This window comes from Homo sapiens, chromosome 13 (genome assembly GCF_000001405.40).
Source record: "Homo sapiens chromosome 13, GRCh38.p14 Primary Assembly".
Lineage (NCBI taxonomy): Eukaryota > Metazoa > Chordata > Mammalia > Primates > Hominidae > Homo > Homo sapiens.
This window is the reverse complement of record NC_000013.11, coordinates 73,645,759-73,667,351: the sequence shown is the minus strand read 5'-3', so window position 1 is coordinate 73,667,351 and position 21,593 is coordinate 73,645,759. Positions and strand designations below refer to the sequence as shown.

The 21,593-nt window shown below is 42.0% G+C and overlaps 1 long non-coding RNA gene across 1 annotated transcript in view; it reads left to right on the top strand.

The window, feature by feature from the left end:
• The first annotated feature begins 5,448 nt into the window (after positions 1-5,448).
• Positions 5,449-21,593, top strand: part of LINC00393 (long intergenic non-protein coding RNA 393) — a 116,003-nt gene continuing 99,858 nt past the window's right edge. The window contains exons 1-2 of the long non-coding RNA NR_184171.1: positions 5,449-5,534; positions 18,721-18,776. This is a non-coding gene — a long non-coding RNA (long intergenic non-protein coding RNA 393). The remainder of the gene's footprint in view (positions 5,535-18,720; positions 18,777-21,593) is intronic.

The following is a 21,593-nucleotide window of genomic DNA, read 5'->3' as shown; positions in this document are numbered from 1 at the left end:
AGAACGTTACTGAAAGATATGAAAGAAGACTTACATAAATGGAAAGATACCCCCATTTTCAAAAAAGGGAAGACTCAATAGCTTAAAGATGCCAATTAGTCTACCAACTCAATGCAGTTACAGAATCCCAACATAATTTTCTCACTAGACTTCATAAATTGGTACTGAAATCCACATGAAGGAAAAAAAAAGCCTAATAATAGTCAATTCCAGTTCTAAAAAAATGAAAAATTTATCACAAATAGTAGACATGGAAACTGAATACAAATAATTTCACTGAAGAATCCACAAATTTAAAAGACTAACAATAGACTGGGAAAATATATTTTCTACATATAGACAGAAATTATTATACAGACGTATTTTAAACATCACCTATAAATCAATAAGAAAAAGACAAACACACCAACAGAAAAATAGACAAGATGTGTGAACAGGCAATTTACAGAGGAAAAAACAGAATGAAAAAACATATATTAAAAGACATTGTTCTTCACCAGTAATTGGGGGTAAATCAGAATAAAAATATAAAACACAAGTTTACACCCGGATTGGGAAGAATAAAAAAAAAAAGTCTGACAATACCACATGGTATCAAGTAAGCCGAAAACAAAAATCCTTCTTACTATGGAAAAGAAAATAGGTATAACTATTGGGGAGTAATTGTGCGACATCTAACAAAGTTCAAAATATACACAGCCTCTTACCCATATATTCTACTTCTCATTTACCCTAGAGCTGCAGCTCTCAGCTGAAGCTGCTCATTAGAATTACCTGTGAGGCTTTAAGAAACAGCTCTGGAAATTCTATTTTAATAGGTCTGGGCTAGAATCTTTGAGGACTGATGTCCTAAGAAACTGTCACACATGTGTGCAAGAAGACAAGGACATGTTTGTAAGAGCAAGCAAACAAAATGCTTATAACAAGGAAACGTCTAAATAAATTGTGACGTGTGTGGATGTGTACTAAGTATGTGTATGTGTGTACACAGACACACACACATAAATCAGAGAAAAGAGAGCTGAAACATGTTACATGTTAATAGAAAAATGGAGAGATCCAAGAGAGATAGAAGTTATACAAGAGAAGGACTGACTGATGAAGCCAGGTTCCTAATGTGGGAGGACACAAGAACTGCTTTGGAGAACGCAGCCAAAGCACAGGTGGAAGATTTAGTCTCCAGAAGATTTAGTTCAGCAAGAGGAGAGCATTTCTTCTACTTGACAAGGGTCAAAGAGTCAAAAAAAATAGGGAACTGCATTCATTCATTCAAATAGCCATTCATGGGGCACCTGGAGGTAAGTGTGCAGTAAAGGTTTGGGAAGTGAGAATGAAGAGATTCTGCCTGGGGTGGTCCATTTTCTCAGCAAGTCATCTGCTGAGGGCTGGGGAGAAGCAGTAAGACAGTTAGCAACGGTGTTTCTAGAACTCAAGTGTTTTTAATTAATTTTATTGTTTTTCAATTTACGTGTTGGTTAACCCAATAAAAGTGTTTTCATTTTTAAAATTAACCTTCTGTTTTTAATTTTTTTCAAGTCCAGAGCCAAGTTTGTTTTGTTTTGTTTTTTACTTGAACAGCTGGCATTTTGTAAACTATTGACAAGATAATCGTTTGCAAAGGAATCCATTTCTGTATGTCTCACAACATCAGACACACAGATGCATCTTTGAATAACACTACTGAACTAGACTTCATAGTTCCTTATACAATGACTTCACAATTACTCGTGGACAAAAACAAATTTATTTTTGGAATAGTACTGACATTTTCAGCTTTATTGGCATTTAAAAATGGAACCAAAGCAATTGAGTGTAAGTCAGAGGCAGACTCAAGATGAGAAACTGCACTTCCTGACTCAAAACTGAGGCCATGCATCTATTCCCAAGGGCAGACACAAAGGTTTGAGCTCTCTGAATAGATCAGCCAGCAGCTTATGGATAGAATATATTAAACAAAAGGCCCAATAATATGACTGCAGCGTTTGAAGGCCCCCAAAATGAGCAATTGAGCTCATTTTGGCATCAGCTACTTTATAAGAAAAGAAACTGTGAGAAAAGGGAGATCTAAAACTGTTCTTTCACTGGAGACCTATTATCAGTTGCACACACAGTTATTGAAGTTGCTCTTACATGCTACACCTGCAGCATTGTGTGAGATAATTATTTTATTCTTTGCGCATTAGAACAAACAGACCTCCCAGAGAGTAATGTGCGTTCTTATTTTTTTAATGGATTTATGGACTCAAAGTATTGAATACCAAATTTTCTGTGGGTTACTGAAAAGGCACAGAGGGATTCTACAACAAATTGGTTGTCAGAGTCCAGGCGCCTGTATCCAAGGAAATGGACTTAATTTAATCCAGGTGACTGGCTATTCAACAAAATCTTTTCTTAATGAATGGTACCTTGACCTCTACTTGTGGAGTCTCTTTCATGATCTACATTTCTTGCATCTAACTAGTCTTATTTTCCCACACGACTCTCCACAGTCTTACTATGATAGAACATCTATTAAAGAAAGAAAAGTTCCTTTGATGTTAAATATATCCAAGTGGCCAAGAAGAGGTAGCTATTCTCTGTACTAGTTTTGTAAAGATAATTTTTACCCCAAAATAAAGATTGCGAAAGGCAGTTCTTAGATTCTCAAGAATTTCAGTAGCAACACAGTAGTGACAAATATTAAAACAGGAAAACGTTTTCCGTCTCAAATGTGGAAGGCAGAATTCTCAAAATGGCCCTAAGGACTTCTTACCACTGGTATATACACATTATCCCAGTTATACAGTCAAACAATAATCTAGGCACTACCGTGAAGGAATTTTTCAGATATAATTCAATCAGTTGACTGTAAATTAGAGAGATTAGCCTGGCAGGGCATGATCTTACTAGGTGAGCTCTTAAAATAAGCCAGAGAGATTTTTCTACTGGCCTTAACGAAGCAAACTGTCATGTTGTGGAGAAGGACACATGGCAGGGAACAGTGTGGGAAGGGGGTTCTAGTTGCTAAATGCCTCAGTACTAAAACCATAAGGTCCTGAATTCTGCCAGTGGGTTTGGAAGAGGACCCTGAGCCTCTAATAATATCACAGCCCTGGCTGACACCTTCATTTCAGCCTGGGGAGCCCCTGAGCAGAGGACCTGGGTAAACCATATCTGGACTGCAGACCCACAGACACTGTGAAATAATAAATTTGTGTCATTCTAAGCCACGAAGTTTGCAAGATTTTGTTATGTAGCCCTAGAAAACTAATATGCAAAGTGAGTGCAAATCTACCTTCTTAGCTTGAAGGTAGAATATTAACTTTTTACATGGTCTTCCAGTTCCCAGAGCATGTGGAGCCAGCCTCAGTATGAAACACTCTTTTCAGAGACAGTAACTTCCAGTGGTCATCCATATAGTCCTGTTAAATACCTGAATGAGAGAAATGATGGAGAAGATCGTCTAAGACAGAATTCTCAAGTTTTTTCCGACCTGAATGCACGTGATGGATGAGATTCATTCGCCTTCCTGATATTCTCCCATGACAGTATACAGTTCAATTCCCACCCATAGCCTGAAATTATACCCCTTCCTGTCTCTGATTAACAAATCAAATGATTGAAAGCATCATTATAATAGTGGTAATAATCTTGAATCCACTTTGATTTATTTTTAAAGTAATTTGTTTTCAATTTTTGGAACTTTTGTTGCCAATACGCTTGTGACAGACTTCACAACTAATCGTTTCTTCATCAAAGCTGAAAGCTGCTTCTGCCTCTTTTTCTTTTTTACATTCAATGAAGATTGAGAAGTTTTTGTGTAAAGGACTATAGTAAGTACTACAAAAGTGACTTCCTATGTTTGTTATCCAAAAAGCCCTACTAATTGGATCAAGAAAACCTGTGATTACCAAGTCCTTTCCCACCTATAAACCCCTTACCACACCTTTCTTAACTTTCTAGGCATTTCTTGTTCTATGAAAATGCAAGTGGGCAGCCAGGAGCGGTGGCTCATGCCTATAATCCTAGCAGTTTGGGAGGCCAAGGCGGGCAGATCACTTGAGGTCAGGAGATTGAGACCATCCTGACCAACATGGTGAAACCCCCCTCTCTACTAAAAATACAAAAATTAGCGGGGCGTGGTGGCTCGCACCTGTAATCCCAGCTACTCGGGAGGCTGAGGCACGAGAATCGCTTGAACCGGGAGATGGAGGTGCAGTGAGCTGAGATCGCGCCATGCACTCCAGCCTGGGTGACAGAGCGAGACTCTGTCAAAAAAAAAAAAAAAAAAAGAAAAGAAAACCAAAAGAAAACAAAACAAAACCAAAAATGCAAGTCAGCAACTTTAGGCTATAAGCTTCTTGAAGCTTCTCTTATTAGTCCCCAGAACATGCACAGTACTTGATAAATATGGTTTTGAATGAATAACTGACTGGCTAATGGAAAGTGTCCTCTCCCCAGGAAGGTCTGTTCAGAGATTTCTGAACAAGGAAGAGAGCTAGTTATAACCTCTTCTCCTTTTTCTTGTGAACTCAAGAGTTGTCAATGGAAGGAATAAGAATAGCAGAGTACTTTCAGAGCAGAGGGCTGCCAACCAGAGAATTGCTCTAAGTGTGGTGGTGTCTTGCCAGTCCCTAGATAGCAAGAGGGAACTGGGTGCCTAGGAAAGGTCACTGGGAGGAGACATTAGGAAGTGGAGGAGTGTTCTTTCTCCATTCAGGTGCATAGATTTAAGGTCGGCTGAGAAGAAACACAGCCCAAAGGTTGGGTTCGAGGACAGGAAACCTGGCTGGAAGAAAATCAGACATGAAAATTGGCTGGAAGGAATATGTTTCAACGACTCATCCACCAGCTGTTTCCTCACTTTCCTCACTGCATCACTGGGTCATCCTTCAAGTAGGGGCGTTTGGAGCTGGGAGAAACCCTAAAGAAAGTTTTTTTTCGATGAGGATCATGGCTCCATAAGCCTCATTTTTTACAAATGCCACTGGAGCCAAACTCTAGGGGCAGGGCGGGTTTAACCCCAATCTCCCAAATCCCACATCCTGGGTTTCCGAAAATGGGGCGTGGCCCACATGTAGCAGAGGTGCAGAGAAATACAGCCCCCAGCTTGGCTGGGACAGGATGGGCGTGGTCATGGCCCATTGCAAGCGGCAGGTGAAGTGCCTGGGCGAGGTCTGGGCAAAGGGAAGTGGACGGCCCAGGTGAAGAGAAGCGAGGCAGAAATTAGGGAGGGGGCGTGGCCGATTTAGAGAAGCAATCAGAGTGAATAGGGCGTAGCTGTGGGGACAGGCGTGACATGGAAGAGCATAGGGGCCAGTCAGGGAGGAGACCTTGGAGGGAGAGAAATGGAGGGTGCCTGAGGGGGATGTGCTAAAGCCAAAGCACATTTGCCCCCTCCCAGCGGGTAGGGGAGTGGTGGAGGCGGAGCACAGAGGTGTGGCCTGTCAGAGAAGGCGTTGTTACGACAGCACAGAGAGTACGGCCCTAGGAGCAGGACCCTGCACACAGCTGAGCTCAGAGGCTCCAGTCTGGCCACGAGAATGCAATGGGAGGTAAGGAGTGACAAGGAGAACAAAAGCAGCTTTGTCCTGGTGGTGGTGGTAGGGCCAAGGCAGAGCGCAGAGGTTTGGCCTGGAAAAGAGGGTCATGGTGGTGTGGGTAGTTGTGGCCCTGCCAGGAAAAGCGTGGCTCTGTGGAGCCAAAGGGCCTGGTTTCAGGGCGTTGCCATGAAGAAGCGCAGGGGCTTAGTGAAGTCATGGCCCAAGCCAGATTGTAGAGGGGTGGGTGGCTTTGAGGGATGGTGACCCAGACGGAGCACAGGGGCGTAGTCATAATGGACCAGATATGGCTTCCGCAGGAGGAACCACACGAAACACAGAAGGCCACTGACTTATGTGTCTACCACATTCCTTTGTCTCTCCAAAAAGTCCCTGCTTCTTCCACAGTCTTCCAGAAGCCCCTGTTCCCTCTCATAATTGCATGACTCTCCCACAATTCTTAGTGACTGTGATGGAGTACAGCAGCAGGCCCATCAATAACTGCAAATGTGGCTCCAGCAGGAGAGGCGTTGTGGGGCAGGAGGGGACGTGGTCACGAAGGAGCAAACATGGTGTGGCCTCGGAGAGAGGGGCAGGGCTCTGCCAGACCGTGAGGGCGCCGCCAGACCTGACAGGGGCGGACCCAATAGAAAAGCGGGTGGAAGAGCACAGGGTGAATTCTCTATCTCATCGTACTTTCTTTCCTACAATTCACTATCTCACAGTGTTCTGTTCTCACCCACAATTCTGTTTCCTCCCACAATCCTGTGCTCTCCCACAATCTCGTTCTCTTCCATAATCCAGTTTTCTCCCACCATCCTCAGTGCTCTCCCACAGCCTTCTCTGCCCTTCCACAACCCTCCCTGCTCTTGCAGTCCTCCATGTCCTCCCACAATTTCTGTGCCCTCTCACAATCCTCCATAATCCAGTGAACCTCTATGGTCTCCCACAGTTCTCTTTGCTCTTCCCAGAATTCTCTGCTTTCTCCAACAAGGCTCCATTCTTTCCCACAATTCCCTATCTCTCCCTGAATTCTTTGTTCTCCCCTTTAATTGTATGTCTTCCACAATTCTCTGTGGCACCTCACTAGGGGTTGTGACTCTAAATGGAAAGTGTGGCATTAGAATTGCCTGGGAGAGTGGCCCTAGCAGAAGAGGCAGCTTTGCAGCGTTGCGGGGTAGGGTGGAGGAGCATGATGATCTTGAAGGGGCGAAGGTGGCTTTACCAGTTCAGAGGAAGTGCTCAAAGCTGAAAGGAATCCATCTTCCCTCCCTTTCTCCCTCCTACCCTCTTTTCCTTCTTTTGAAAGCTTTTGAGGAATAAATCAATCCTTCCTTCTATCCACCCAGGTGTTCTAAAGTCTATTCTTTTTGTATTTGATCTTGAAAGGCTATACATTTGAGATCATAGGATCACTTCTATATTTAATGTAATTAGGCCCAGACTTTTCAGAGGGATTGAGGTTCTTCGAATCAGCTGTATGGAGACTGCACATTTGTGGGAATACTGTTGTTGAAGACAGTTACTTTTTCTCTTAACAAATATCTATTGAGTACTCTATGCCAGGCACTGAGTTAAGTGCTAGGGACAAACTGATGAATAAAACACACTCTTATGCAAGAAAGTATGCTGTGATATATAGTAAGAGTTTTAATAGAAGCACATTAAGGGTGCCATGGGTGGCCTAAATCAGCCTGGGAAGTTCAGGCATGTTTGAACTGTCTTGAAGAAGCAGTATTAAGTGGGAAGACTTGAGAGGGCGCAGACAATGAGGAATGATAAAAGGAATTTGGAATGCAGAGCATGAAGGCACACTAATGTTGACTACTCAAGGATGGTTAAGTAGATCAGTGTGGCTGGAGAATAGAGAAAGCCGAGTGGTGAGTAGCGGGAAATGAGATTCCAAACATGGATAGAGGTATGTGATCTTCGAGATAATAGGGAGTCATTGAAAAATTTTATTCAGGAGCTAGGCACAATTATATGTATTTTAATTATACAAAGGTCATTTCTGAAGAAGTTTAGAAGATAGGTAGGAAGGGATGACACTGGACTGAGACAAACTGGTTATAGGGTGAGCCCAACAGTTTATGTAGGAAATGTTGAAATCCTGAACTTCATACAGTGCAGTAGTGAATTGTATGAAGAGAAGAGACATTTCAGATATTCAGGGTATTCTTATTGTCCCCTATATAAAATTTTAGAGAATCGTTGTCGTGAGTTGGAAAGGGCATGGATTTTAGAATCAGAAATTTAAACAGTCCTCAAATCAAATTTTAGTTCCCCAAGTATTAGCTGAGTAGAGAAATATCTTGTCTTCAGTTTCCTTATCCACAAAATAGGAATAATAATGTCTAGCTCACAGAGCTGTTAATAATGAGCAATGTGTATAAAGTGCTTACCACTATGTTATGGACTGAATATTTGTGTCTCTTAGAAATCATATGTTGGCTGGGCATGGTGGCTCACCCCTTTAATCCAAGCACTTTGGGAGGCTGAGGTGAGAGAATTACTTGAGGCTAGGAGTTTAAGAACAGCCTGGGCAACTTAGTGAGACCTCATCTCTACAAAATATTTCAAAAATTAGCTGGGTGTGGTGTGCACATCTATAGTCCCTACTACTTGGGAGGCTGAGGTGTGAGGATCACTTGAGTCCGGGTTGTCCAGGCTGCAGTGAGCCATGATGGCACCACTGCACTTCAGCCTGGGTGACAGAGTGAGACCACCCCATATGATGGTAGTAAGAGGTGGGGAGCCTTTGGAAGCTAATCTCGCTTTCCACCATGTGAGAATGTGAGAACTTGGTGCTCTACAACCAGGAAGAGGGCCCTCACCAGAAACTGACCATGCTGGCACCCCTTCTCAGACCTCCAGCCCCCAGAACTGTGAGAAATAAATTATTTAAACACCAGCCTATAGTACATGGTTATAGCAGCCTACTAAGCTAACACAGCATAGTAACTAGAACTTTATGGTTGACTTATCTTTATGTAACTCATATATAAATGGTTCACTTTTTTTTTTTTAGGTTCCAGGAAGTTCAGAGTTGAATATAATACCAATCAACCAAAATCACATAGACCTTGGGACTGACATATATGCTTTCTCTATCTTTTACTATTTCTATGATATTAACTTTACTGAGTGTTCAGTCCTTTGCTGTAAACCACCTCATATTCTTTTGGAGAAAAAGGTAAAGAAGAAATGGATGGGTAGATAGATGTCAATATTACCCCAAAGTTAGGGATTTAAAACAACAACCCTTATTTAGCTCACAATTCGGTGGGTCTGCAATTTGTGCTGGGCTGGGTTCAGCTACGACAGCTCATCTCTGTTGCAGTTAGTGGCGGCTGGGCTCAGTAATGCTTTTGTAGCCAGCTGGCAGCCAGCATCCTCACTCACAATTTGGTTCCCTGTTGGTTATTGGCAGGGGCTAGCAACTGAGCTAGTCTAGGCTGTTTCACATGGTGGTTGTTGCAGGGTTTCCAAGATTAACAGAAGAGGGCTATTTCCATTGTAAGCACTTTTCAAGTCCCTTCATTACGTTTGCTAATGTGCCACTGGCCAAAGCGGGTAACATGGCCAAGTCTAGGCTTAAGCAGTGAAAAAAATAAACTCCATCTCAGATGGGAGGAGCTGCAAGTCGTATTACAAATGGATGAGAAGGAATTTGTGGCTTTTTTTTTTTTTTTTTTTTTTTTTTTTTTTTTCACAATCGCCACCATCTGGGCTAGCTTAGGTTCTTTCACATGGAGTTTGCTAGACTAGGTTTCCCTGGCTATTATCCAATAACATTTCACCACTCATACTCCCACTATTTGAGGATCTCCAGCTTCCTGCAAAGTCCTCAGAGTCCATCTCTAAGAGTCTCCAAAGAGTACCTCATTGTTCTCAGTTGCCTCCTACTTAAAGATATTTTCTTTTTGCACCAGCCTCCTCTCTGCTCAGTGGGTGCCCTAGATCTGCCAGATGCTGCTCTCCTCATGAGTATTTGATTTTTTTGCTAACACTAGCTCCTTTACCACTGATGCAGTGGAGTCTTTGAGGCACTAAAGTTACATAGTGTGTTATAGCACTGCTGGGAGAAAACCATTCTTCCCTTTTCCCATTACTCTTGGCTACTAGTACTGCTCATGCCTCAGTGTCTCATAGTATTTTGAAAACACACTCTCTTTTTAGATTTTTCATATAGCCCACCACTCCCACCAATCACAAGTTCATTGGCTATAGATTGAAAGTTGTGAGGAATACTGACTCAAGATAAATCTAAGTTTATAAGAAATTCATCTTCAGGTTGCCCCATCCAATGATTAAGGCCTGTTGATATAGTTTGGAGGTTTATAGTTTGTCAAAATGTGATCCCCAAAGTTGGAGATGGGACCTATTGGGAGGTGTTTGGGTCATGGGGGTGGATCCCTTATGAATGGTGTGGTGCCCTCCTCATAATAATGAGTGAGCTCTCACTCTACCAGTTCATACATGGTCTAGTTGTTTAAAAGAGGCTGCCACCTCCTCCCTCTCTCCCTTGTTCCCTCTCACCATGTGACACATCGGCTCCCCCTTTGCCTTCCATCATGACTGTAAGCTTCCTGAGGCCCTCAACACAAGCAGATGCTGGCACCATGCTTCTCATACAGCCTGCAGAAATGTGAGCCAAAAGAAACCTCTTTTCTTTATAAATTACCCAGCCTCGGATATTTCTTTAAAGCAACATTAATGGACGAATACACTCATCCACCTGACTCATTCCTTTATTGTGAGCTTTTTCTCTCTATAAATTCCTTAAGATAACATCATCAGTTCACCAAGCATAGTCAGAAATGACTGAATCTTAGTGAAGGAAAGGAGTTTCCAGATGAACTCCCTACTTCATTTGTTTTACAAGTAGTATTGCTAGTATTACTATTATTACTACCTGTACCAACAGCTGCCACTTATCCATACAGCCCTGTAAGACAAGTGCTATTATGGTCCCTAATTTGTAGATGGGGAAACTGAGGCTTAGAAAGGTGAAGAAAATTAGTCTGTATCTCAAAGCAAGTACATAGCACAGCTGGGATTTGAACACAGGCATACTGACACCAAAGCTCATTCACCTAATGGCCTCATTATATTCCATCCCCTACGTGTAAATCATTTTACTAGGTATATATTTCAGAGTTTTTGCTTTAAAGGTTAGGTATTATGAATACAGTGCTGAAGAGCAGATATTTCTTTTTTTTGCTAACAGAGGAGAACTAAAACCAACTCTGAGTGAAGAAAGGAGTGTTTAAAAGGAGAGAATCACAGGCAGTCATTGTAAAAACTGGTACCTGCCTGGCTTTAAGGCTCTATACCTTGTAATATAGTATAGTATAGTAATTTAAAACATGCTACTAGTATGTTTATATTACTATAGTACTAGTACACTAGTAGTATAGTATAATAATTTAAACATGTGTAGCCGTAGATGTGATGGCCTTGCCAGAAAAGAAAGGGAAGGAAAAGGAACTATTCAGGACACTCCTCCAAATTTCAAGAGTGTCAGGTGGTACAAAAGAAAAGAGCATGAGACATGAATTCAGATTTTCTTGGGTCCAAAAACTAATTTTTTCATTACATGTTGTACTGTTGAGTGAGTCATTGAAACTTCACTCTTCTCTACTGAAAGATGATATGACCTTCCCCATTGAGTTGTGAATATTAAATAAGTTAATGCATGCAAAGCATTTTAGCTTAGTACGTGAACCAGAATATGTTCCACTCGAGAAACTACAGCTATTATTATAAACGTTAAACCTTTTGAAACAAGGTGGAAAAAATAAGCAATTATTCTAATACCAAATGCAACTACAAAGTTTACAGCCAATGAACACTGCTTTCTTTCTTTTTTATTTTTATTTTTAGACAGAGTCTCTCTTCATCCCAGGCCGGAATGCCATGGCGCAATCTTGGCTTACCGCAACCTCCGCCTCCCGGGTTCAAGCAATTCTCCTGCCTCAGCCTCCCGAGTAGCTGGGATTATAGGCATGCACCACCACGCCTGGCTAATTTTGTATTTTTAGTAGATGGGTTCTCTCCATGTTGGTCAGGATGGTCTCAAACTCCCAACCTCAGGTGATCTGCCCTCCTCAGCCTCCCAAAGTGCTGAGATTACAGGCATGAGCCACCGCGCCTGGCTGAACACTGCTTTCTTTCAACATCACTACTGTCATGGTCACTGTGTTCCTAGGCTGCTTCCTATTTCCTCTTCCATATTTTTTTTCCAATCCTCACATCATCAGGCTAGTTTTTAGTTGCGCTGAGATCAGGACACTTACTCTTTTTCTTTCCTTCCTTTTCTTCAAGTACTATCCCGTAAGTCCTTCTTCTGGTGGTAACATTTGTCCTGGTTTTTGAAGAATTTCAGTAGGTAGAGAATGTGAAAAATCTGAACATCGGTGATATTTGCAGACTGGTGAGCTGCTTGATGTGTCTATCACAAAATAATGCTGGTGGGAATTTTTTGTAAAGGCAATGAAGGGTAAAGTGATAAAGGACTAAGAATTCTACAGTATGAAATGCAGATTTTACCATAGGCAGTGGAGGCTTTTGAAGGTCTCTGAAGAGGCAAATGCATGACATGTGTATAATAGGAAGGTAACTTTGGCATAGTGTAAAGATTAGATAACAATGAATATTGAATTTGAGTAACCAGAGACTGGTAAGCTGAGATGACCTGAGCCAAGGCAGAACAGTGGGAATGGAGAAGACGGGATGGAGCTAGGAGGCATTTGCTAGCATGAATACACGTTTGTCAAATATTTATAAAATGTCAACTCCATAGCAATGAATGTTCTAGGTGCTAGAGATACAAAGTAGACATGATTCTGTGCTCAGCATCGACGTTCGGTGGTAATGAGTGCTCTGGAGAGTAATACATTTAGGAGCACCAGGTAGGAGCCTCTCTCTTAGGAGGACATTTAGAGTGTGTATTTCTAATGTGGTGACACAAACAAGAAATGGTGAGTGAGCAGCCTCGGGGACATAGCAAGGAGACATTTCTGGGAAGAGGAGCTGGCAGGTGCCAAGCCATAAGCTTCAGTGTAATTCACTGGAGCAGCAAAATGGTTAGACTCTAGAACAGGGAGGAGGAGGGTGATAGACATAGGAGACAAGCTGTGAGAAGACTCCTCATAGCTTGAGAAGAGGAGCTATGAGAAGCTCATATGAGAAGAGGAGACAAGCCCTCTAAGAACCAGGGCTGGTTCTTAGAGGGCTTTGCAAGTCATTTACAGGACTTTTTTTTTTTTTTTTTTTTTTTTTTTTTTTTTGGCTTTTAATCTTAGTATGATGGAAGCTTTTTTGCATGTGCCGTGATTCATTTATCATAACTAGCTTGGCCATCCTTACATACGTAACTTGAACCTTGAAACTTTCCCAACCTCAATTTTTTCATGTTTAAAATAGTTATAAAATGATGAACTCTCTAAGTCTGATATAAGCATTAAGTGACTGTTGAAAAGCACTTGGGTGTTGACTGGCTGTGGTGATTGAACAGGTCAGACAGCAATGGTTTTTATGTTTCCAGCCTACACAACTAGGTAATCGTGGTATTTTCTGGGAGGAAACACAGGAAAAGAGCCATAAGGGTGAGCAAGAAAATAGTGAGATGATTATGGATTCTATCACGCTGTGTGACCTCCAGGTGGAAGTCTCTGGTCATGGCTGGTTCTGTGGGTATGGATTCAGGAGAGGGGTTTTGCCTGGAGATATGGGTTTCAGAGAGCAAAGGCAGAGAAGTAGCATAGTTAGTATCTTTTTTCACATCTTGCTCTTATGCATGAAAAAATCTTTTCTCCACTATCGCTACACAATTGTCATTATTTCCTCAAAGCTGAAAGAGAGGCTCATTAAACTATAAAACAATCCTATATACATCATTCCAAATCCTCGTTCTTCTATTGTAAGCACAAAAACCTGCTTCTGTTTGCCTCTCACTCTATAGGGCCATAAAACATGTCCTGGTGGACATCTGGTGGCAGAAAAGGCTTGATGGACTTGCCCTACTTTCTTTTCTTTTCTTTCTTTTTTTATAGATAAGGTCTCACTCTGTTACCCAGTCTGGATTGCAGTGGTATGATCATAGCTCACTGCAGCCTCAAATTCCTGGGCTCAAGCAATCCTCCTGAGTAGTTAGGACTACAGGAGTGCACCACCATGCCTGGCTAATTTTTGTAGAGATGGGGTCTTGCTATGTTGCCTAGGGTGGTCTCGAACTTCTGGACTCAAGCATTCCCTCTCCTTCAGCCTCCTAAAGTGCTGGCATTACAAGTGTGATTATGTGTAATAGGGCCCAGACACATGCCCTATTTTCTATAGTAACTTCCAAGTCCCCCCCATTAGGTTTCCATTGGTTTATTGCTATTTTCCCGATTCTCTTTGTGCCTTCCTCCCCTTTAAAGTGGACTCCCAGGAACTATACACTTCCTCCATTATTCCAGTTGCAATATTATTGTCCCTCATTTTGATGAACTTGCTTAGATTTAATTGATTCTTAATCTTGTAAGTCGCAGCCATTCAAATACACATCCATGTGTATTTAAACATTATTGCGTAGTGACATCACCTGCCCAAGAAACAAAGAGGGGGATGTCCATGAAAGGGTCCCTTTCTGTACCTTTCCCAGGCATTATTCTCAGAATGGCTTGGAGGAGGATCCAGGAAGCCCATAGTCGGGAGCTGAGGGGGCAACTGTGTCCACTCCTACATTTCCCACTCTGAGAGGGGGGATGCCACACCCTCTGAGAGTATCGAATATTCCCTACACTACTGTAGCTTTAGGCCCTCTACATGGAAAACCTCAGTTTGCCTAACAAAAGCATTTCCTGGCTTGAACCATGATAAGTATCCACACTACCTTTCTTATTTAGGTGGGCCCTGTGATTTCCCCTAAACCTCCATCCCTTGAAGTCACGTGTCACATCCAGTCCCCAGGAATCCCAAATAGATTGTACAGCCAATATCTATCTGTTCCTAATACTTCCTTCTGTCTTTTTGTAACCCTTCACCCCACCAACCCCAACAACACTCCTCAAGTCAGAAGACTGGGCATATTCATCTTTTTCCCATTTGCCATCAAACAGAGCAGCTGAGGGTGTGGGAGGCAGTCAGGCAGCCAGCAGGAGAAATTCAGCCGTGGTGTCAGACTGGCCAGGAGCCTGCTCCTCTACTGAAATTTCTGCTACCAAATAATTTACTTTCTCTTGTCAAAGGGTCTTTGTGCCAAGTTGAGTACTGTGGACCACTTTTCTCCATCCACAGCCTATGTTAACCACCCCTTTTTTGTTGGGCTACTTCTCCTTGTCCCTAGGTATTCTAACTTCAGGGAAGCTTCTGCTGGTAAGTTCAAGATCCATTTCTTCCCAAGGCTGGGATGGATACTACTGACAGTGTGCATACACACACACACACACACACACACACACACACACACACACACACACACACACAAATACATATATATATATATATATATACCCAATATTATATTGTCATTATCTGTGGACCTGTCTGCCTTCCCAGTGAGATTGTTACCCCTCTGAGGGCACCTCAGTTTCCTCAGCACTGGCCCCACTGTTGAGCCTGAGTAGATGATGTATAAACACTTATTAAATGAATATGTACATTTCTTCTTTATTCTTTCATCATCATGCTAAAATTAAAACTTTACCCATATGTGGACTTTATTTATTCTTACTTCCACCTTCTTTTGATGCTGATATGGTTTGGATCTGTGTCCTCACCCAAATCTCATGTTCAGTTGCAATCCTGTATGTTGGAGTTGGGCCTTAGTGGGAGGTGATTGGATCATGGGGGTGGATCCTTCATGAGTGGTTTAGCGCCATCCCCTTGGTGCTGTTCTCATGATGGTGAGTGAATTCTCATGATATCTGGTTTGTTTAAAAGTGTGTAGCACTTGTCCCCTCCCTCTCTTCTTCCTGCTACGGCCATGTGAAGTGGTAACTCCCACTTCGCCCTCCACCACGATTGTAAGTTTCCTGAGGCTTCCCCAGAAGCCAAGCAGATGCCAGCATTTGTGCTTCCTGTACAGCCTACAGAACCATAGGCCAATTAAACCTCTTTATAAATTACCCAGTCTCAGGTATTTCTTTATAGTAGTGCAATAACAGACTAATACCAATGCTGTTTTCCTTTTTTTCCTCTTAAAATCATTTCATAAAGGAATTAACTCTCCATTATATGAAATTTCTTGTTCAGTGCCATAATAATTTTCTTCTTTTTTTTTCTGAAATAGGGTCTCACTCTATTGCCCAGTCTGGAGTGCTTTGGTGAGATCACAGCTCATTGCAGCCTCCCAGGCTCAAGTGGTTCTCCTGCCTCAGCCTTGTCCTCCCAAGTACCTAGATTACAAGTGTGTGCCGCTATGTCCGGCTTTTTTATTTTTTTATTTTTGGAGAGATGGTATCCCTCTATGTTGCTCAGGCTGGTCTTGAACTCCTGGGCTCAAGCAGTCCTTCTGCCTCAGCCTCCCAAAGTGCTGGGATTACAGGCTAATTTTATTTTTTTTAAGCCAGCATCTATTTCTTTTTCTCTTTTTTCTTGTACACTTTGAAATATTTTAATTGTGCCTTTATTTTTACTTGATATCTTACAACACTGAAACCACTGTCCTCAGGCAGTGTAGCAAGATGTCTCAAAAATCATTAAGCGTTTCTCAAACTACACATCTTCATCAGAAAATTGCCAAGTCTGTACGGGATTCCTCCCTCCTCCCACTACCCAATTTTATTTTAGAATTAGCCACTATTCAGATGAAAGCTTTTGGGAATAGGTATATTAGAACTTTAAAAGTAAAAAGTTGGGAACTATTTGGTATTATAGAAATGTCTTTCAACTAAGCTTTAATTTTCTTTGTGATTAGAAAGCCACAACCTCACATTTGCCAGAGATCTTTCTTGGTTTTAATTCTAATGTAAGTTCCTTTTTACCAGGAATAGTGGGAAATCAGTTGTATTCCATCTTTTTTTTTCCAGAATTCAGAGGAGAAGTGTTTGGGTCCTCTGACATGATTCCTTCATTTACTCACTCAAGAAATATTCATTAAGCACTTATAATGTGACAGGCACCACTTTAGGTCCTGATCTACAGCAATAAACACAAAATTTGTGCTTTCACAGAAACAAATATATATACACACACACACACACACACACACACACACACACATATATATTTACATGTATAAATATATATGTACATGCTATTAGATGGTAATAAATGCTATGAAGAAAAATAACTCACTATATACACAATGGAGTACTATTCAGCCATAAAAAAGAATGAGATCCTGCCATCTGCAACAACATGGATGGAGCTGGAGGTTATTATGTTAAGTGAAATAAGCCAGGCACAGAAAGACAAACGTTGCATATTCTTACTTATTTGTGGAATCTAAGAATCAAAACAATTGAACTCATGGAGATACAGAGTAGAAGGATGATTATCAGAGGCTGGGAAAAATTGTAGGAGTGTGGGGGATGTGGCGATGGTTAGTGGGTACTAAAAGTAGTTAGAAAGAATAAGACCTAGTGTTTGCTAGCACAACAGGGTGACTGCAGTCAAAAATAATTGTACATTTTAAAACCACTAAAATAGTATAACTGGATTATATGTAACGAAGGATAAACGCTTGAGAGGATGGATACCCTGTTTACCCTAATGTGATGACTATGCATTGCATGCATGTATCAAAATATCTCATGTAACCTATAAATATATATACCTACCATGTGCCCACAAAATTAAATATGTATGTGTGAATGAAAAGAAAAATAGCTCAGAGTGTATGGAGACAGGGGAATTCAGGTGGGGGCTACTATTTCAGATAGGTCAGTTTACAGAAGCCTCTCTGATATGGTGACATTTGAGCCATACGAATAGCTTAGTACATAGGAATAAGTGTAGATATCCAGCTAGACAAGAGAAGGAAGGGGAAGACTGAGTCCTGGGGCTTTCTAGATAGAATAGAAGAGGAAGTTTTCATGACTGAGAACCTTTTCAGACTGAGAAGATGAGATTAGGGAAGTATGAGGAGAACCAGAACATGTGGAGAACTAGAAACCCGGTGAAGAAAGTACCTCAAAGAAGAAAGGGGCCAGGTGTGGTGTCTCACGCCTATAATCCCAGCACTTTGGGAGGCCGAGGAGGGCAGATCACCTGAGGTCAGGAGTTCGAGACCAGCTTGGCCAACATAGTGAAACCCCATCTCTACCAAAAATACAAAAAATTAGCCAGGTATGGTGGTGCACACCTGTACTCCCAACTATTCAGGAGGCTGAGGTGGGAGAATTGCTTGAACCCAGGAGGCGGAAGTTGCAGTGAGCCGAGACCACACCACTGCACTCCAGCCTGGGCGACAGAGTAAGACTCCATCTAAAAAAAAAAAAAGAAGAAGAGGAAAGGAATGCCAAGCTGTAATCAATGATGTTGGCAATTTGAGTAAAATGAGGACTGAGTATTGATCGTCTATTGAAGGTTATATTCCCTTAGATATCAGTTGTCCCCTCTGGTTCTCTTATCATTGGCCTACACAGGCCCCTTTCTGCAGGATCCTCTCTTCTACTGGCCCTGAGAGGCACACGTGTGCTGCTCCTGGAACCAAGCAACTTCTTCCAAGACATGGTGGGGTGTGGGATACAGTGAAGCTAAGAACCTAACTGCCCAGACACAGGAGGAAGCCATTTCTAGAGTTCGGAGACATCTTCTGGAGAAAACCTATAAAATGGAGCTCAGTTCTCTTTTCTAGGTTTTCCAAAATCCTTCTGAAGTCTCTGTCATTCCTCGTGTGCCTCATAAGTGGAATGGGATAGAACTTAGGGTCCTTTTCAGGGACCAGCCAGCATCTACATTTTTCTCCTTTCCTTTCCATTTGTACTCCTTCCCTCCAACTCAGTATTTAGTGGAAGAGTAATGGGGTGGAGTGAGCTGGAGACTTGTTATATATTTTTTCTTGTACATTGTATATATCCTGAATCCCATCAGTTTCCCTCAGGGCATAGATTTTTACTCAGAACAGAGCTTTCTTAGCTAACAACTTTTCCTGATACAGGAGTCAGGCATAGTAGTTTTCTGAATACAGAGAATGGTTAGAGGATAATAGAAAATACCGGAGGTAAGTTTTATGTTTGTCCCAATTTCTTTACCTTTTGTTTTTCCATAGGTATTCTTCATTGATCTTACTCGAAGTTGAGAACATGTATTTTGACTCTGAGAAATGTAAGTCATCTCTGCCTTCTTCCTTCCTATATTCTGCCTCCATGAGGAGAGATTTTGGTTTGGATCTGCCTAATCACAAGGCATTGAGTAGAATATATCTTCTAAGGGACAAGCATTGCCAAACACATTCAGACATCCTTCTTGTCTCTATTCCTTCCAGGTGAGGGCCAGGCCTGCTCACTTGTGTGAGGGTGCAGGCTCTTATGATCTGGCTTTCATTCTGGCTTCCTCTCTGTTGGAGTCTTCTCTTCCTCCCATTTGGAAGTCAAGTCAAGACTTCTGCTCCTGCCCAGCCTGGACCACCTTGGTCTTGGACACTGGAAGCAAACCTGTGCTTTTTAATTCTGCTTCCTGTGAGTTGTTACTGTTTATTTTCTTTGATTTCATTGTTCCCTGATTCTGACAGAAGGACGTGATTCTAGCCTTTCCTTCTATTATTGGGGTAAAGCTGAGTCTTTGCTGAGTTTAGGGGTAGCGGGCAAAGTGAAGAACAACAAAATACCTTTGATGGCTTGCTCTGAACCAAAGTTTTTTTTTTTTTTTCTGAGACAGGGTCTCGCTCTGTCACCCAGGTTGAAGTGCAGTGGCGCAATCTTGGCTCACTGCAACCTCTCCCTCCTGGGTTCAAGCGATTCTCATACCTCAGCCTCCTGAGTAGCTAAGACTACAGGTGCATGCCATCATGCCTGGCTAATGTTTGTATTTTTAGTAGAGACGGAGTTTCGCCATGTTGGCCAGGCTGGTCTCAAACTCCTGACCTCAAGTGATCTGCCCACCCCGGCCTCCCAAAGTGCTGAGATTACAGGTGTGGGCTATTATGCTCGCCAAACCAGAGCTTTTTATTTATTTAATTTTAAACTCTTTTTATTGACATATAATTCACGTAACAAAATTTACCATTTAAAAGTATACAATGTTGTGGTTTTTAGTATATTCACTGTATTGTGCAATCATTGTCACTATGTAATTCTAGAACATTTCCATCGCTACAAAAAGAAGCCCCTTACCCACAAGCAGTCACCTCTCAATTCTCCCTATCCCCAGGTCCTGGCAACAACTAATCTACTTTATGCCTCTATGGATTTGCCTATTCTGGACATTTCATATAAATGGAATCCTATAATATATGGCCTTTTATGTCTGGCTTCTTTCACTTAGCATAATGTTTATACTTTCCTAGTTTAAGGAAAAGGAATCTTCTGCATTGTCCTGTCCAGTTCATTAGAGGTCAGCATTAGAGTTCAGAGCCCAAGACTCAGCATATCAACATGCAGTACTGTACCTTTCATTTACTCATTGGCCATTGCAAACTTGGTCTAATACGAACATTTCTAGTGGCCAGCTTCAGGCACGGTCATGGTTCCTGGCAGTGGGTCAACCCACTCCACAGTCAGGAACAGTGAGAGGACCATTTGGTAAGCTGTGGTTTCCATGTGGGTCTAAATACCAGTGACAGTCTTGAATCAAATTCAAACAACTCTGCTAGTAGTAGCACTGAGAGGACCCAGCAGTTGACATTGTCAGAAGCACGAAAGGGAGAAAATGGGAGATGCCGTATCCTAGTTGAGAAGCCTTGTTAATCCCTATGAGACACCCTTGTAGGCTCCTTAAAATTATTGGAGGTGGCTTTGAGGGAGCTTGTCTTAGTCCGTTTGTGTTGCTATAAAGGAATACCTGTGGCTGGGCAATTTATTTAAAAAGAAGTTTATTTGGCTCACAGTTCCACAGGCTGTATAAGAAGCATGGTGCCGGCATCTGCTTGGCTTCTTGTGAGGCCCTCAGGCTGCTTCCATTCATGGTAGAAGGCAAAGGGAAACTGGTGTGTACAGAGGTCACATGATGAGAGAGGAAGAGAGAGAGGAGGAAGCTGCCAGACCCTTTTAAACAACCAGCTCATGAGAACCAATAAAGTGAGAACTCATTGCCATGAGAATGTCACCAAGACATTCATGAGGGATCCACCCTCATGACCCAAACACCTCCCACCAGGCCCCACCTCCAATATTGGGGATCAAATTTCTTTTTTTTTTTTTTTTAATTATACTTTAAGTTTTAGGGTACATGTGCACATTGTGCAGGTTAGTTACATATGTATACATGTGCCATGCTGGTGCACTGCACCTACTAACTCGTCATCTAGCATTAGGTATATCTCCCAATGCTATCCCTCCCCCCTCCCCCCACCCCACAACAGTCCCCAGAGTGTGATATTCCCCTTCCTGTGTCCATGTGATCTCATTGTTCAATTCCCACCTATGAGTGAGAACATGCAGTGTTTGGTTTTTTGTTCTTGCCATAGTTTACTGAGAATGATGATTTCCAATTTCATCCATGTCCCTACAAAGGACATGAACTCATCATTTTTTATGGCTGCATAGTATTCCATGGTGTATATGTGCCATATTTTCTTAATCCAGTCTATCATTGTTGGACATTTGGGTTGGTTCCAAGTCTTTGCTATTGTGAATAATGCCGCAATAAATATACGTGTGCATGTGTCTTTATAGCAGCATGATTTATAGTCCTTTGGGTATATACCCAGTAATGGGATGGCTGGGTCAAATGGTATTTCCAGTTCTAGATCCCTGAGGAATCGCCACACTGACTTCCACAATGGTTGAACTAGTTTACAGTCCCACCAACAGTGTAAAAGTGTTCCTATTTCTCCACATCCTCTCCAGCACCTGTTGTTTCCTGACTTTTTAATGATTGCCATTCTAACTGGTGTGAGATGGTATCTCATTGTGGTTTTGATTTGCATTTCTCTGATGGCCAGTGATGATGAGCATTTTTTTCATGTGTTTTTTGGCTGCATAA